Source organism: Homo sapiens, chromosome 7 (assembly GCF_000001405.40).
Source record: "Homo sapiens chromosome 7, GRCh38.p14 Primary Assembly".
Lineage (NCBI taxonomy): Eukaryota > Metazoa > Chordata > Mammalia > Primates > Hominidae > Homo > Homo sapiens.
In genome coordinates, this window is record NC_000007.14 from 142,526,589 (window position 1) to 142,541,237 (window position 14,649).

A 14,649-nucleotide genomic window follows, 5' to 3' on the forward strand; every position below is an offset into this window, starting at 1 on the left:
GGCAGTTTGCAAAATCTGGGCCATTTGGTCATTTTCTTCAGTGACTTTTTAAAGTGAAGTTTTACTTCCAACATTGGCCTGATGTGTGGGTCTGTTCTTATGGGGGTTAGGGTTAGAGTTGCTCCATTACTTGAGTACCCATGAAGTATTATTGGTCATAGAATGAGCAGGATTATCAGGAGTAGAAGGGGTAGGGAGAGGGAGAACTGTTAAGTGAAGCAGTAGGGTTGAGTGAAGAGTATTTTAGACATATGAGTACATAGAGGGATGAAAGCCCAGCTAGCCCCCAGCCCCCATAGAAGGAAGATCAAGATTTGACAACTAGGAGAGGCATGATTACACCATGCAGCTTGATCAAGGACTGAGAAAGCTTTCTAGACAAATGACAGGTAATGACCCACACTGTGAATCGGTATTGAACGTGAGATGTCAATATATATTCATATATCCACTTATATATCTAAAATAAGAAGTCCTTACAAACCCTGAAAACATAAACCCTCACTATTACAGGATGTGCAGGTGATTTGGATCCTGTGAAGACCCTCAAACAGGATTAAAATCCAGTAGGCAGAGGTCTCTGATTCTTTGTTAGCTACAGAGGAAGATGTGCTATGATGGACACCTAGGGGGTCTGGGGGTCTTCCCATTCCCTTCCCAGATCCACACCTAGAGGAATGTCAGGCAGCACAATTCAGAGAACCACCAGAAAAGCTGTGAGAATAGGACTCCAATCTGAATCCAGCTTCTCTCAGCTCTGCACCCCTTGCTGTGTAGGAGTCAGTGCAGGAGAAAGCTGACTGGGTGAGAAGAGAAGGGATCCTGAACCATGCCAGAGGAGACCTGTGAACTGGGAAATGAGCAGCAACAGCACCACCACAGACACACACTCGCCAGGCACAGGGAGAGGACAGATCCTGGCCTCTTGTAGCACCAGAGCTCTGAACGCCCTCTACCTGCTCAGTCTCCCATGGGATCTAGGCTCTTCTCCTGGGCGCTGGACATGCCTTGGTTTCTCAAAACCAGGTGTGTCCTGGATGCACCTGGGGGAATCTCAGCTCTGAATATGCCAAGCCTTGCCAGAGGAACCATGTATTTTGAAAACCCACGGGGTCTGTGTTAAAAACAACAATTTCCCTCTCAGAGCATGATGGGATTCCATGTTCCTGCTTAGTTGTGCTTTGTCTCCTGGGAGCAGATGGCTCTGGAAACCTCTGAGGGAAATCCCTGTCCCTGCAACTGCTGTGCCTCAGTTCCAAACATTCCCCATGCAGTCTCCTACGTCCTAGCTCCAGGTTCTATCTCCATTCATGAAACTGTGCTCACACAGACCTCTTGAAAGCAGGTAATGGGTATGGAGCAGCAATAGGTGTGAATACATCCTACTTTATGGCATCATCTATGGGAAGCAATGTCAGCTGGAAATGCACCAGCATGAATTTTATACTATTGTGATGTAGCACTTCTGAGATTGAAGGTACAATGGCATATTCCAAGCTGGTCAACCAAACATCTCACTCCATCAGCTGGACACACATCCCCTAGTGGGGTGGGATTCTGTGGGTCTCCTTTTGCCAGCAGCAAAGACCTTGCTGAACCATCTCCTCTGCTTTGCTTCAAACTTTTCCTCCACTTTGCAGGATCTTCTCAAATCTGGGTCTAACTTGCCTGCAGTGAGAGGAATTGTGACTATTGTCCCTCATATGAAAGAGGGTGCCCATGAAGTTTTAAGAGTTAAGTTAGGAATGAAAATGAGAAATTAATTGCTCATAATGCAGACTGTTAGGAACCCCAAGGATTAATTCAACTCCCTATTTTTTAATTGTACTACTCCCATCACAATGTCAAGGGTAAAACAGTTCTGACTTTTTCTAAAGGCTATGGAACATTTATTGATTTCAGAGGTGACTTAGAAACACAGGAGGTGTCGTGATAAGTAGTAGAGACAAAAAAGAAAAAGTATTGAGATTAATGAATTCATATGGGGAATTGTTTAACTGTTCTTTTTTTAACCTTTAGAATGAGTTGAAGATCCCAACTTAGCTTGGTGCCTGCTGGAGGCAACGTTTCTTCCCTTGCCCCTCTGAGCTGTGAATTGAAACTCTTTCGGGAAAAAGACGCGGCAATTCTCTCCACTTCCCAAACACCTCCCACTCCTACCCAGACCGTGGATGGGCAGGAAATGCAGGAACAGAGCCAGAAACAGGAGATCTCCAAGGAAGGTTGACAGTCAGCACTGGGATCGTCTGTGTAAAGTGCTGCTGAAGCAGCCAGGTGGCATGTCCAGCCGACAATGCGAAAGGAAAAAGTGAGAAGACTTCCCGAAGGCGGAGGGTGGAATGCGGGCAGCAGCCCCCTGGAGGGCTGAGTGGGGAAAACAAAATGGACCTCACAGAAGCTGTGTGTGTGGAAACCCACTTCTGACTTATCACTTGTCATGAATTCTATGCTTCATGGTGTTACACCGTTTATTGTTTCTGATGAGTGACAGTAATTATTTTCTTTCTTGCTGGTACATAATAAAGTGGTGCACATCAGAGTTGCTGCCATCTTAGACTTAACTCATCAGTATCAGGTGATCCTGAGGCTCAGTGATGTCACTGTGGGAACTGCTCTGTGGCGACAAGGACGTCCCTCATCCTCTGCTCCTGCTCACAGTGACCCTGATCTGGTAAAGCTCCCATCCTGCCCTGACCCTGCCATGGGCACCAGCCTCCTCTGCTGGATGGCCCTGTGTCTCCTGGGGGCAGGTGAGTCCTCAGAACACCAAGCAATCTCATTGTGTCTGTGTATGTCTGTGTGTGTGTGCGTGTGTGTGTGTGTGTGTGTGATGACTACAATTGTTTTCCTCCTGTTCCCAACTTGTATCTCCACAGATCACGCAGATACTGGAGTCTCCCAGAACCCCAGACACAAGATCACAAAGAGGGGACAGAATGTAACTTTCAGGTGTGATCCAATTTCTGAACACAACCGCCTTTATTGGTACCGACAGACCCTGGGGCAGGGCCCAGAGTTTCTGACTTACTTCCAGAATGAAGCTCAACTAGAAAAATCAAGGCTGCTCAGTGATCGGTTCTCTGCAGAGAGGCCTAAGGGATCTTTCTCCACCTTGGAGATCCAGCGCACAGAGCAGGGGGACTCGGCCATGTATCTCTGTGCCAGCAGCTTAGCCACAGCATGGCACAGTCGCCTCCTTCCTGCTCACAAACCCTCAGGCACTTACTTCTCCTTCCAGCTCTCAGAAGCCCTGAACAAAGGAGCTGCCCTGCTCTTTCCTCAGCAAGGAGAATGAATGCATTTGGAACTGCAGGTGTTCTTCTGATACTAGGAGGTCAGAAAATAACCTCTGAAATACAGGAACAGGGAATACTGGGTAGTAATAATTTTGACTTATGGATTTCTGGGATTCCTTATATATAGTTCAAATTTCCATAATTAGGATATAACAGAGCTTAGTCTCATGGATAGTGACTAAGTAAATATTCTTTTATAGAACTATGAAGTTTCAGCACATTTATATTAAACTACTGTTACCACATGTCACCAACTCAGACCTATAATCTACCAAGGAGTGGGGAAGCCAAACGCAAACACTGCTAAGGCCATTTACAGCTACCACCCTTGGAAGAAAATTGGAATCTTTAGTAAGAATTTCCATCAAAATCAATTTTTTAGAAATAACTATTACCCACAATAATGCACATTAACTCATGTTCATACATTGCTTTTTTTCCTTCTGAAAATCTTGTAGTCATTCTATGTTTAATTTCCTTCTTCTCCAGTCTAACTTAAAAAAATAGAAATACAAATTGAGATTGTTTCATAAGATAAACCCCACCTGGGAAGGTGTTAAAAGGACACAATTCAAAGAAAACCTGAATAAAATTATATCAACCACGTAGGATTCTTTGAGGTTTCCAAAGAAGATGTACCAGTTTACATTCCCACGAGAGGTATATGAGTTTTGGATGGAATTTTTTTTTTTCTCTCTCTCTCTCTGTAGATTAGTTTTTCCCTCTACTAATAGTTTCTCTTGACAAACAGAAGTTCTTAAGTGACAATCATTCCATGTTTCTCCCATTTCAGTTAGTGTTTTGTATTTTGGTGTCCACTTTAGGAAATCCTTGCTTACTTCAAAATGATCATGTTTTCTTACATTTCCTTCTAAAATCTTTATATTTTCCACTTTTCATACTTAGACTCACAATCGAACTGGAATTAATTCTTTGTAGGTGATATGAGGAAGAGGTCAAGTTCTATTTTTCCAAATGATTATTCAATTTACCCAATACTATTTAAGTGGTAATAGTTTCACCATCACTCGATAATATCACTTTTGTCATAAATCCGTCATTATACATGTGTGGCCTTTTTTCTCGGATCTCTATTCTGTTACATTGGTCTGTTCTGTCAGTTCTCGCACTGATAATATGCTGTCTTACTACAGCTTCATCCTTATTCTTAATATCTGGTAGAATAATTTCTCAAGCTTCGCTCCTTTTTATCAAGTGTTCTTGAGCACTCTTGACACTTTTTTTCCATATACATTTTAGAATCAGCTTGCTAAATTATTCAGGAAAAAGATAACAACTGCTGGGATTTTTTTTGTTTTTGTTTGTTTCCAACTGATTTAAGTGCATCACAGAACAAAGCTAAAAATATTAATAGAAATATAAAAATATCTACCACCCAAAAATATAAAATACAAAATATCTGGCATCAATCAAAAATTACAGACCTGCAAAGAAGCATGAAAATAGGATCTATAAGGAAAAGAAGGATTAATTAATAGGAACCAACTCAGAAATGACAAATTGGCAGACAAAGACAGTCAAACAGTTACTATAACTCTGGTCTGTAAGTTCAAAGTTTTGTTGAGATGGGGAAAGGCATAATGAGATCCAAACAAAGCTTCTAGAGATAAAAATTACAATGTCTGTGATGAAAAATACGCTGGATGAAGTTACCATCAGATTAGACATTACAGGATAAAATATTAATAAACTTGAAGAAATAACACAAACAATTCTTAATGAAATACAGAGAATAAGTGGGGGTCATCAGTAAACTGGGGGACAACTTTAAGTAGCTTAATATGTAATTAGAGTCCCAAAAGCAAATTTTTAAACTTGAATGAATTTCTTTAAAGGATAATTGGCTATTTACACTGAAATAATTCCAAAACAGTGCAGGGATTCTAATATATGCAAACATAAATCTATAACAAGACTAGCATAAAGACAGGTGAGGAATAAATGAACACATATATCATTGGAAGGTTTCCATAATCTGAGTGAAGTCACTTGAAGGCAGACTGCGTTAAAGTAGAGATGCAACTGAAAATCATAGAGCAACCACTAAGATGACAAAACACAGCATTATAGTTAATAAGCCAACACAATACAGAGTTATAAAAATGCTCAAATAATCCATAAAAACAACATAAAAAGAAAAAAGGAATATAGAAGAGATGGGATTGATAGAAAACAAATAGAAGATGATAGACCCAAAAGTAACCACATCAACAATCACATCAAATCTAAATAGTCTAAAAGCACAGATTGTACTATTGAATATTATCGAATCATATCAAAAAAACAACTATATGCTGCTTATCAGAATACTATGAAGACTCAGAATGTAAAAAAATATAAAAGTATGGAAAAAGATGTACTATGCCAACACCAATTAAAGGAAAGCCAGACTAGTAACGTTAATATCAAACAAAATAAATTTCAAGCAGAGAATATCATCTGAGATAATGAAAGTCATATCCTAATGACAAAAGTATTGGTCTATCAAGAGGTTGTAACAATCAAATATTTACGTACCTGAAAATGGATCTTCAAAATCCCAAGGCAAAAACAGAACTGCAAGGAGAAACAGACAAATCCACAATTATAATCAGAGATTTCAATAGCCCTCTTTTAGTAACTGGTTTAACAAGTTGACAAAAACAAAAGACAACTAAGGATACAGAAGATATGAACTACACCAACAACCAACTTGACTTAATTGACGTTTACAGAACACTTCATCCAACAGCAGCAGAATACATGTTCTCTTGGAGTGCGCACTGATTGTGTGCCAGCATGGACTACGTACACTGGGCCATAAAACAAGCATCCATGCATTAAAAGTATTCAAGTCAAACCAAGTGCACTCGCTGGTCACAGTGAAACTTCATTAAAAATCAGTAAGAGAAAGATTTCTGGAAAAGTCCCGAATATTTCAAAATTAGATAATAGTTGTCTAAATAACTCATAAAGCAAAAAATAAATCAAAAGATAAAAGATAATTTACAATTATTTTAATAGTATATTTTGGTCATTTTTTTTTTCTTTTTGACCAAATACTGGTGAGAATGAAGATAAGTAAGACCTTTCTTTTTTATTTTTTTTTTAAGACGGAGTCTCAATCTGTCACTGAGGCTGGGGTGCAGTGGCATGGTGTTGGCTCACTGCAACCTCCGTCTCCTGGGTTCAAGCAATTCTCCTGCCTCAGCCTCCCAAATAGCTAGGATTACAGGTGCCCACCACCATGCTCAGCTAGTTTTTATATTTTTAGCAGTGACGGGGTTTCATCATGTTGGGCAGCCTGGTCTCGAACTCCTGACCTCAGGTGATCCACCTGCCTCGGCCTCCCAAAGTGCTGGGGTTACAGGCATAAGCCACCACGCCTGGCCCAAATCTTTCTTTTTTGGGGGGAGAGTAAATTGTAAAACCGTTTTTGATGAGTAATTTAGCAGCATACATCAAAAGAGTTAATACTGCTAACACTCCTTGACCCAGAGTGTTTTTTATTTAATGAATTTATTTCAAGGAAATTGCTATATATGCATAAAATGTTTGAGAATGTTCAACAGAAAAGAAATTATTTTAAACTGAACAAATATAAAAATATATCAAAGTTGGTATGATGCTGCCAAAGCAGGACTGAGGGGAAACTGAAGAACAGGGGATAATTTTCTATTCATTCTGAGGCCAGAACTACTCTGATACCAAAACGAGACTAAGAGATTCCAAGAAAGCTGCTGACTAATATCTCTCAGGAACACAGATTCAATGATCCTTTTACCATTACAGCCTAGAGAATCTGACAATATGTAAGAGGGATAGTACAACATGGTCAAGTAGGGTTTATCTCAGTAATGCATTGTTGGTCTGACATTCAAAAAACAGACTATGTCATTTACCTTATCTGTATGAAAAATATGAAAAGTATATGATCATATCTATAGATAACTTAAGCATTTGATAAAATTCCATATCCTTTCTTGAAGAAAACTGTTATCAAACTCAAGAGTAACAAGAAATTTTCTTCACCTAAAAAAGGACATTTATGACATCCTATGGTTAAATAGAATATTTTTGCAAGCAAACTGATAAGTCAAAGATGCATATGTAATTCCCAGATCAAATACTAAAAACAGCAAAAAGAGGATAAAATAGCCTTTTCAGCAAATGGTTCTAGAAAAATGGGATAATATGGAAAAATAATGAATCTCTAGCCTTATCTCACTCCATAACCAGATGTGGGCAAACTATGGCCTCCGGGCCAAATTTGGCCTTTGTCTGTTTTCATACAGCCCAGAAACTAACAAAAATTTTACACTTTTAAATGATTGAAAAAAAGTAAAAAGTATTTTGTTACATATAAAAATCTAAGATATTCAAATTTCAGTAAACATAAATGAAGTTCTATTGGATCATGGCCACAGTCATTCGTGTATATATTGTCAATGGTTGCTTTTGCACTACAATGACAGAATTGAGTAGTCGAGACAAATACTGCATGATGCACAAAACTAAAAAATTTATTATTTCACCCTTTACAGGAAAACTGCTGACCCTTCCCATAAACAAAATTTAGTAAGAGACACAAAAAAATCCCAGATAATCGAAAAACTAGAAACTGAAAGCTTCTGGAAGAAAACATAGCAAGCTCTCTTCATGATCATGGGGTAGGCAAAGATTTCTTAAGGACAAAAGAATGTTCTAACCATAAAAAAAGCAAATTGTTCTTTATGCAAATCCCAAAAAGTTCTTCAAAATACATTACGAAAAAATAAATGTATATCTGAGAAAGGGCTGGATTCATATTATAAAGAATTCCTACACATCAATCATAAAGAAGGCAATTCACTAAAAACAAAAAGTTGACTAGAGAATTAAAAAAAAAAGATATATAAGTAGGCAGTTTCTTTTCATGAGACTAATGTGTTTATTTCTCCAGCTTAGATGATTGTTTCACTGATAGCATGTCACTGTCAGCTGCCTCCAGGAATTATCTTTGGTTAAAGGGAATGCTTTGCCCAGGTCTCACCCCATTCCTATGGCAGCTGGCATTTAATGACTGGCTGATATCTCCCTTCCTACACCATTATTTGATGAAATTTAAAATTTAAATTAAAATGAAAAATTTTTCTTTCTTGTTTAAAAAGACATTTGCTTTATGTCTCCCTCACCAACCTGTGCAAAATTTGAGTTTGAGGCAGGTAAACCTGAAATCAGCAAGAGCTGTGCTGTGTCCTGAGAGATCCTGAGGGTCTAATTTAGGAAGCACCCAGTCTCCCTAGTCAGGGTCCTTAGAGCTTCCTCATAGTGACTACACACTGGCCACTTGGGGGCACTGTGGATCCACTGAGTGGGTCACTGATAGCGCTGTCTGAGAGAGAGAGGGTTAAGGGAGACAGTCTTGATTTCGTCTCTGTATCAGGGATATTACCAGATGAACCAGAGGTACTGCTGGCACAGGAAGAGTTAATCATAGTCTTATCAGATCAACTGATATGCAACATGTATTTGTCATGACAGGAAGCCATGAACTGAAGCCTTGTGTGGCCTCTCTAGCAACCTAGGTTTGATGGGGAGTGTGATGAGGGTTTCAGCAGGGCAGCCTGGATAACCCAAGCCAGGTGGAGATAAAGGAGCATCTGCCTCAGATGAAAATCTCAGAAGCTGTGCGGATGGCTGTCTGCCCGGAAGCCTGCCCCCTCTCGCTCAGCACAGCTAGCTTCCCCTGCTCTGCAGGAAGCTGGACAGGATGGGGGAAAGCCTGAGTTAGCTGAGCTAGTCCTGGAGTACAGGGTGCCTATGGGAGCCTACAGGACGATGACATCAGAACAGTGACATCACAGTAAAAACCTCCAAAAACGGTGAGGAGGAGCAAAAGCCCTGCTTTCTCACCCCAGGAGACCAGCAACCTGAGCAGGGAGATGCTTAGTCCTGACCTGCCTGACTCTGCCTGGAACACCAGGCTCCTCTGCCGTGTCATGCTTTGTCTCCTGGGAGCAGGTGAGTCCTGAGTACAGGTGGGACATCCCTGTATCCACAGTGTTCAATTGTTGCTGAAGTGTCAAACTCTCCCGAGCTGAGTCTTCAGCTTCTGTCTCCTTCCTCCACAGGTTCAGTGGCTGCTGGAGTCATCCAGTCCCCAAGACATCTGATCAAAGAAAAGAGGGAAACAGCCACTCTGAAATGCTATCCTATCCCTAGACACGACACTGTCTACTGGTACCAGCAGGGTCCAGGTCAGGACCCCCAGTTCCTCATTTCGTTTTATGAAAAGATGCAGAGCGATAAAGGAAGCATCCCTGATCGATTCTCAGCTCAACAGTTCAGTGACTATCATTCTGAACTGAACATGAGCTCCTTGGAGCTGGGGGACTCAGCCCTGTACTTCTGTGCCAGCAGCTTAGGCACAGCCCTGGAGAATTACTGGCTTTCTGTACCCAAACCCTCCTATCTCACTTGAGGATGTAATAGGGAGAAGGAGGTGGGGGCTGCCACACAACTTTAGCCAAGCCCCAGAGATGCTTCTATTCTTTTCTAACATTTTCCCCTGCCCTGCTGAGCTCAGTGAGAGCTCCTGCACTTGTGGGCTCCAGACCCACTGGAAGTTCTCACATCTTAGCCAGTACTTTTTAATTCCTAGCAAGTGGCGGGAGCTTCTACTCTGTGCCAACATAGGGGTATATGTTTTAGTGTGTTTCCTGTTGCCATACAGAATACCTGAGACTGGGTATTTTATAAAGAAATGAAATTTGTTTCTTACAGCTCTGGAGGCTGGGAAGTCCAAGGTCAAGGACCCACATCTAGTGAGGACCTTCTTGCTGGTGAGGACTCTGCAGAGTCCCCAGGTGGCATAGGGCATTACATATGAGGGGGCTCATGAAAGATGGTCAAACTGGCTTTTATAACAGACCCAACCTCATAACTAACTAATTCCTTCTATAACCCATTAATCCATGAATGGATTAACCTTTATGAGGGCAGAGTCCTTAAGATCCAGTCACCTTCCAAAGGTCCTACCTCTCAACGCTGCTGCATTGGGAACCAAGTTTTCAATATATAAATTATTTAGGAACACAGTCAAATCATAGCAGTACACATTGCGGGTTTTTTTTTTTTTTCTTTTTTGAGACAGGGTCTCACTCTGTCACCCAGGCTGAAGTGCAGTGGTGCTGTGATCATGGCTCATTGCAACCTTGAGCGCGTGGGTTCAAGCAATCCTCCTGCCTCAGCGGCCTGAGTAGCTATGACTACAGGGACACATCACTACAAGGTGTGTCCCCAGTTCCTCAGTTCCTACAAGGTGATGTGTCCCCTTGCCTGGCTAATTTTTTTTAATTTTTATTTTTGTAGAGATGAGGCCTTGTCATGTTGTCCAGATTAGTCTCAAACTCCTCAAATGATCCTCCTGAGTTTATGTGTTTTAATGCAAAGATAGACATTAGCATATCCACTTTATACATGTAGAAGATTTCAGTGTACCATTTTATAGATAGGAAGCTGTGGCTCATGAACTTCTCCAGTATTTCATATTTCCAAGGATCAAAGGCAGGATCCAAACCTACGACTCCATGCCTCCAAAATAAAATTTCTAAAATTCTATAGTGTTTCCTGGGCCTTGGTCAATGAGCTACAGCAGAGCACTATTCTTCCATCTCAAGACTAGCCAAGCAGTAGAAGAAGGTCACATATTATGGAATGTGGTTACTATGGCTTATGGCCTGCCAACCTCCAGGACATATAACTTCCAGCCAGAGAATATTTGTCCTGTTTTAGTTCCATATAGAATGGGGCCACAATATGTCCTAATATAGACATATAGTGACAAGGGGCATTTCTAATACATCACAGGGTTCAGTCAAGGAAACAGAATCCTCTAGGAATTCCAAGGAGAATAGGAGTTAATACAGGGAATTGGTGGTTATAAACCACTGGAAGGCTGAAAAGTGGGAGGGTCTCAGAAGGTTGAAACTTGCGCTCAGGTCCACCACTAGTGATCACAAAGACTGAAGTTGCTACTTTTGCCCAGGTCAGGGACTGCTGGAAATAGCTGAGAGTCATAGTGGTCTTGCAGTGACCAAGAGGGTGATTCACAGGAAAGTATCCAGAGGTCATTGCAAATCCACCTGTCTGTTGCTGTCAGATAAAAGTCTTTATTCTGCTTCTAACTTTTCCACAAGTATAGCTTACTGGGGGAAACAAAACTGTTTTCAGAAACTTGCTCTCAGGAGAATCTAGGAAATGTCTTTTTCTTTTTTTTCTTTTTTTTTTTTTTTTTTGAGATGGAGTCTCGCTCAGTCGCCCAGGCTGGAATGCAGTGGCGCGATCTCGGCTCACTGGAAGCTCCACCTCCTGGGTTCATGCCATTCTCCTGCCTCAGCCTCCCGAGTAGCTGGGACTACAGGCACCCGCCACTAAGCCCAGCTAATTTTTTTTGTATTTTTAGTAGAGACGGGGTTTCACCATGTTAGCCAGGATGGTCTCGATCTCCTGACCTCATGATCCACCCATCTCAGCCTCCCAAAGTGCTGGGATTACAGGTGTGAGCCACCATGCCTGGACTGGGAAATGTACTTTCAAGTCTTCTAGCTCTTGCAATAAGAGAGAGAGAGAGATTGTTGGAGGACATTTAAGGGTACTCAGTGCCAAAAGACAATCATCAGCACACCCAGCTATGCAGCAGAGAAATGGAAAGCAGGAGAATAAATTTTATATTTTCTGTCAAATTGTTCATGAAAATTTATTTTATATATATAGCTTTGCTGTTGTCATTTAGTTGTTGTTTACTTGTTAATTTATTCAGTAGATATTCCTGGAATACCTATTATGTTAAAAATTTCCTTGGAATACAGAAAATGAGATGTAATTTTTCAAATTACACATTCTGTCTTTAAGAAGTCTAAAGTCTGGCAAAATAATATATCCCTAATTATTCACACATGCATTTACAATGTATGAAAGTCATTTCAATCAGTCAGTTTTCTGGCAAGGAACAGATGACACAGTCAAAAAGGCTGAAGTGAAAACAATTTAATCGAAGGACTATGTTTAGAGGGGTAAACAGACTTAGGGACACCAAGAAGTGTTTGAGGGACCAGGGGTTTCCAGCACATTGGGAAGCCAGTACAACTAACTGTGGGGCCTATGGAAAAAGGGGTGGGAGGGAAATTCTGTGTTACTGGAGGTGCATGCAAGTAATGAGAAAAGTTTCCCAAAGGAAGGAATTCAGGACCAGAGCTAGGAAGGGGAAGCCCAGATATGCTGAACTTTCTCTTCACTACCCTTCAATGTCCAGCTGGTGTCTTCCATTGGAAAGCCCAGCTGAAAGCCTGGATAGCACCGTTTGCTGACATCAGTCTTCAGGGGCACAGTCCAGGGCAGTAAGGGGCAGGCAGGCGAGAGTCGGTTGTGGGGAACTTTGGGTGTGCATGTAGAACAGCCAGCACAGCAGCTACCAAGTGTATGATGTGCCATTTGCAGATGCATGTGCAAGTACACGGTGGACAGAGACCAACTTAATTCTACATCTTTTATGTGAACTTAGAGAAAATTGCCTTGTTGATTGCTAATAACAAGCAACATCGTTAATCCCATTTTCTCTGGGCCGTATACCAAGTACATTATTTCAATTAATTTCTTAAGAACTTCAAAAGGGAGAACAATTTACTCCCATATTACAGGTAAAAAACTGTTAGAGAATTTAGATTTTCTAAAGGAGGTACAGCTAACAAATATAGAACTTGGACTCACACCTAGGCCATACTGACTTTCAACCTATGCTTGAAGTTACTCCACCCTATACATTTTGGTAGAGGAAGATACCTTCAACATTGGAAATCTAAATGTCTCTTTTAGAAACAATGCATCTGACACAAACCATTTGAATAACATCTTTCATGTGGGAGGCTGCACGCTAAAGAGGAAGATCCTCAGAGATGAGGAGACCTCAGTAGTTCATCTTCTGATCCCTTGGGTCAGTGACTTTGAAAACATTTGGCTAAACTGAGGCCAATCATATATGTCTTACAGAGATTTTATACATGTAAATAAAACAGAGTCTAATACATAGTATAGGCTCAATAAGTCTTAGGTCCCTATGAATTTTCTGACAAATCTCTAGTCAAGCAGTTATTTACTTTGGCAATCTGGTAACAAAGGCATACACGAATTACTTTTGTCTGATTCACCTATGATTCAGACACAAAGTCATCTAAAATGCAAATATAGTAGTCTGATAATTCATTGGCAAAAGTAACACAAACAGTTGTGTCTTAAGAGAAAGTGAAAATGTTGTACCTTACAGCATTTCCTGCTTGATACTGAGTCTGATATGCAAGGTGTGATGCTCCCAGAAAGTTGTGAATTCAGAGCAATCCTGATGGATTCCATCTCCTGTTGCTCCAGCACAAACTCAATATTGTACCTTTATCCTGGTTTCCTCTCTCCCTATTTTATTCTCCCATCTCTCTTATTCCTAATTCCTGAGATCCTTTCCAAAATAAACTACTTTCACCAAAGTCCATGTCTCAAACTTTGCCTTCAGGGGCAGCTTAAAACTTTGACAGTGATAGAATGAGATGACCCTCTAAGACACTTCTCTTTGAAAAAGGCCGTGGTTTTCTTTTAGTTACACTGCCATGCATTCATTCAGAAGTCCTATAATGATATGTGAACTATCTCTTCCAAGTTCATTTTGACTCAGTCTGAGTTTCCAACAGACTCACATGGGTCTCTGCTCAGTTAAGGCTCTGAGCTTATTTGTAACTGAATAGACTAAGTTTATGTTTCACAGCTTCAGGGTCTGCATGGACTCAGAGAACCATTCATTTCTTTCTTCAGTCATTCAACAAAAATTTAACAAGAGTATGTGCGGAGTAGATCCAAGTTTTGCGGAACATGAGGCTTATAAAATTTTAGGGATCGCTTTGAAAAAGAGAATACAAAATGAGAATGTCTTGAAAAAATTCTGTGCAAGGCCAGGCACAGTGGCTCATGCCTATAATCCCAGCACTTTGGGAGGCCGAGGTGGTTGGATCATTTGAAGTCAGGAGTTCGAAATCAGCCTAGCCAACATGGTGAAACCCTGTCTCTACTAAAAATACAAAAATTAGCCAGGCATGGTGGTGGGCACCTGTAATCCCAGCTACTTGGGAGACTGAGGCAGGAGAACCACTTAAGCCCAGGAAGCGGAGGTTGCAGTGAGCAGAGATCACGCCATTGTACTCCAGCCTGGGTGACAGAGTGAGACTCTATCTCAAATTAAAATAAATAAATAAATTCTGTGCAAGTGAGAAGGCCTGAAGTTATTCTTCATTGACTTCATGGCAAATCCACTTCTAGCTAGTTACCGTGT

General features: G+C 40.9%; 2 gene segments (V, D, J or C) and 1 further gene, besides 6 other annotated features; all 3 read left to right on the top strand.

Moving 5' to 3' along the window:
- TRB (T cell receptor beta locus) overlaps positions 1 to 14,649 on the top strand; it is a 514,277-nt gene that overhangs the window by 227,578 nt on the left and 272,050 nt on the right.
- Positions 2,702 to 3,174, top strand: TRBV7-9 (T cell receptor beta variable 7-9). The segment is given in 2 exon segments: positions 2,702 to 2,750; positions 2,877 to 3,174. Coding segments are annotated over 2 exon segments (347 nt in total), but the record flags the coding sequence as incomplete, so codon positions are not given.
- Positions 3,175 to 3,181: a recombination feature (RSS_heptamer).
- Positions 3,182 to 3,204: a recombination feature (RSS_spacer).
- Positions 3,205 to 3,213: a recombination feature (RSS_nonamer).
- TRBV13 (T cell receptor beta variable 13) lies at positions 9,221 to 9,704 on the top strand. The segment is given in 2 exon segments: positions 9,221 to 9,299; positions 9,410 to 9,704. Coding segments are annotated over 2 exon segments (374 nt in total), but the record flags the coding sequence as incomplete, so codon positions are not given.
- Positions 9,705 to 9,710: a recombination feature (RSS_heptamer).
- Positions 9,711 to 9,733: a recombination feature (RSS_spacer).
- Positions 9,734 to 9,742: a recombination feature (RSS_nonamer).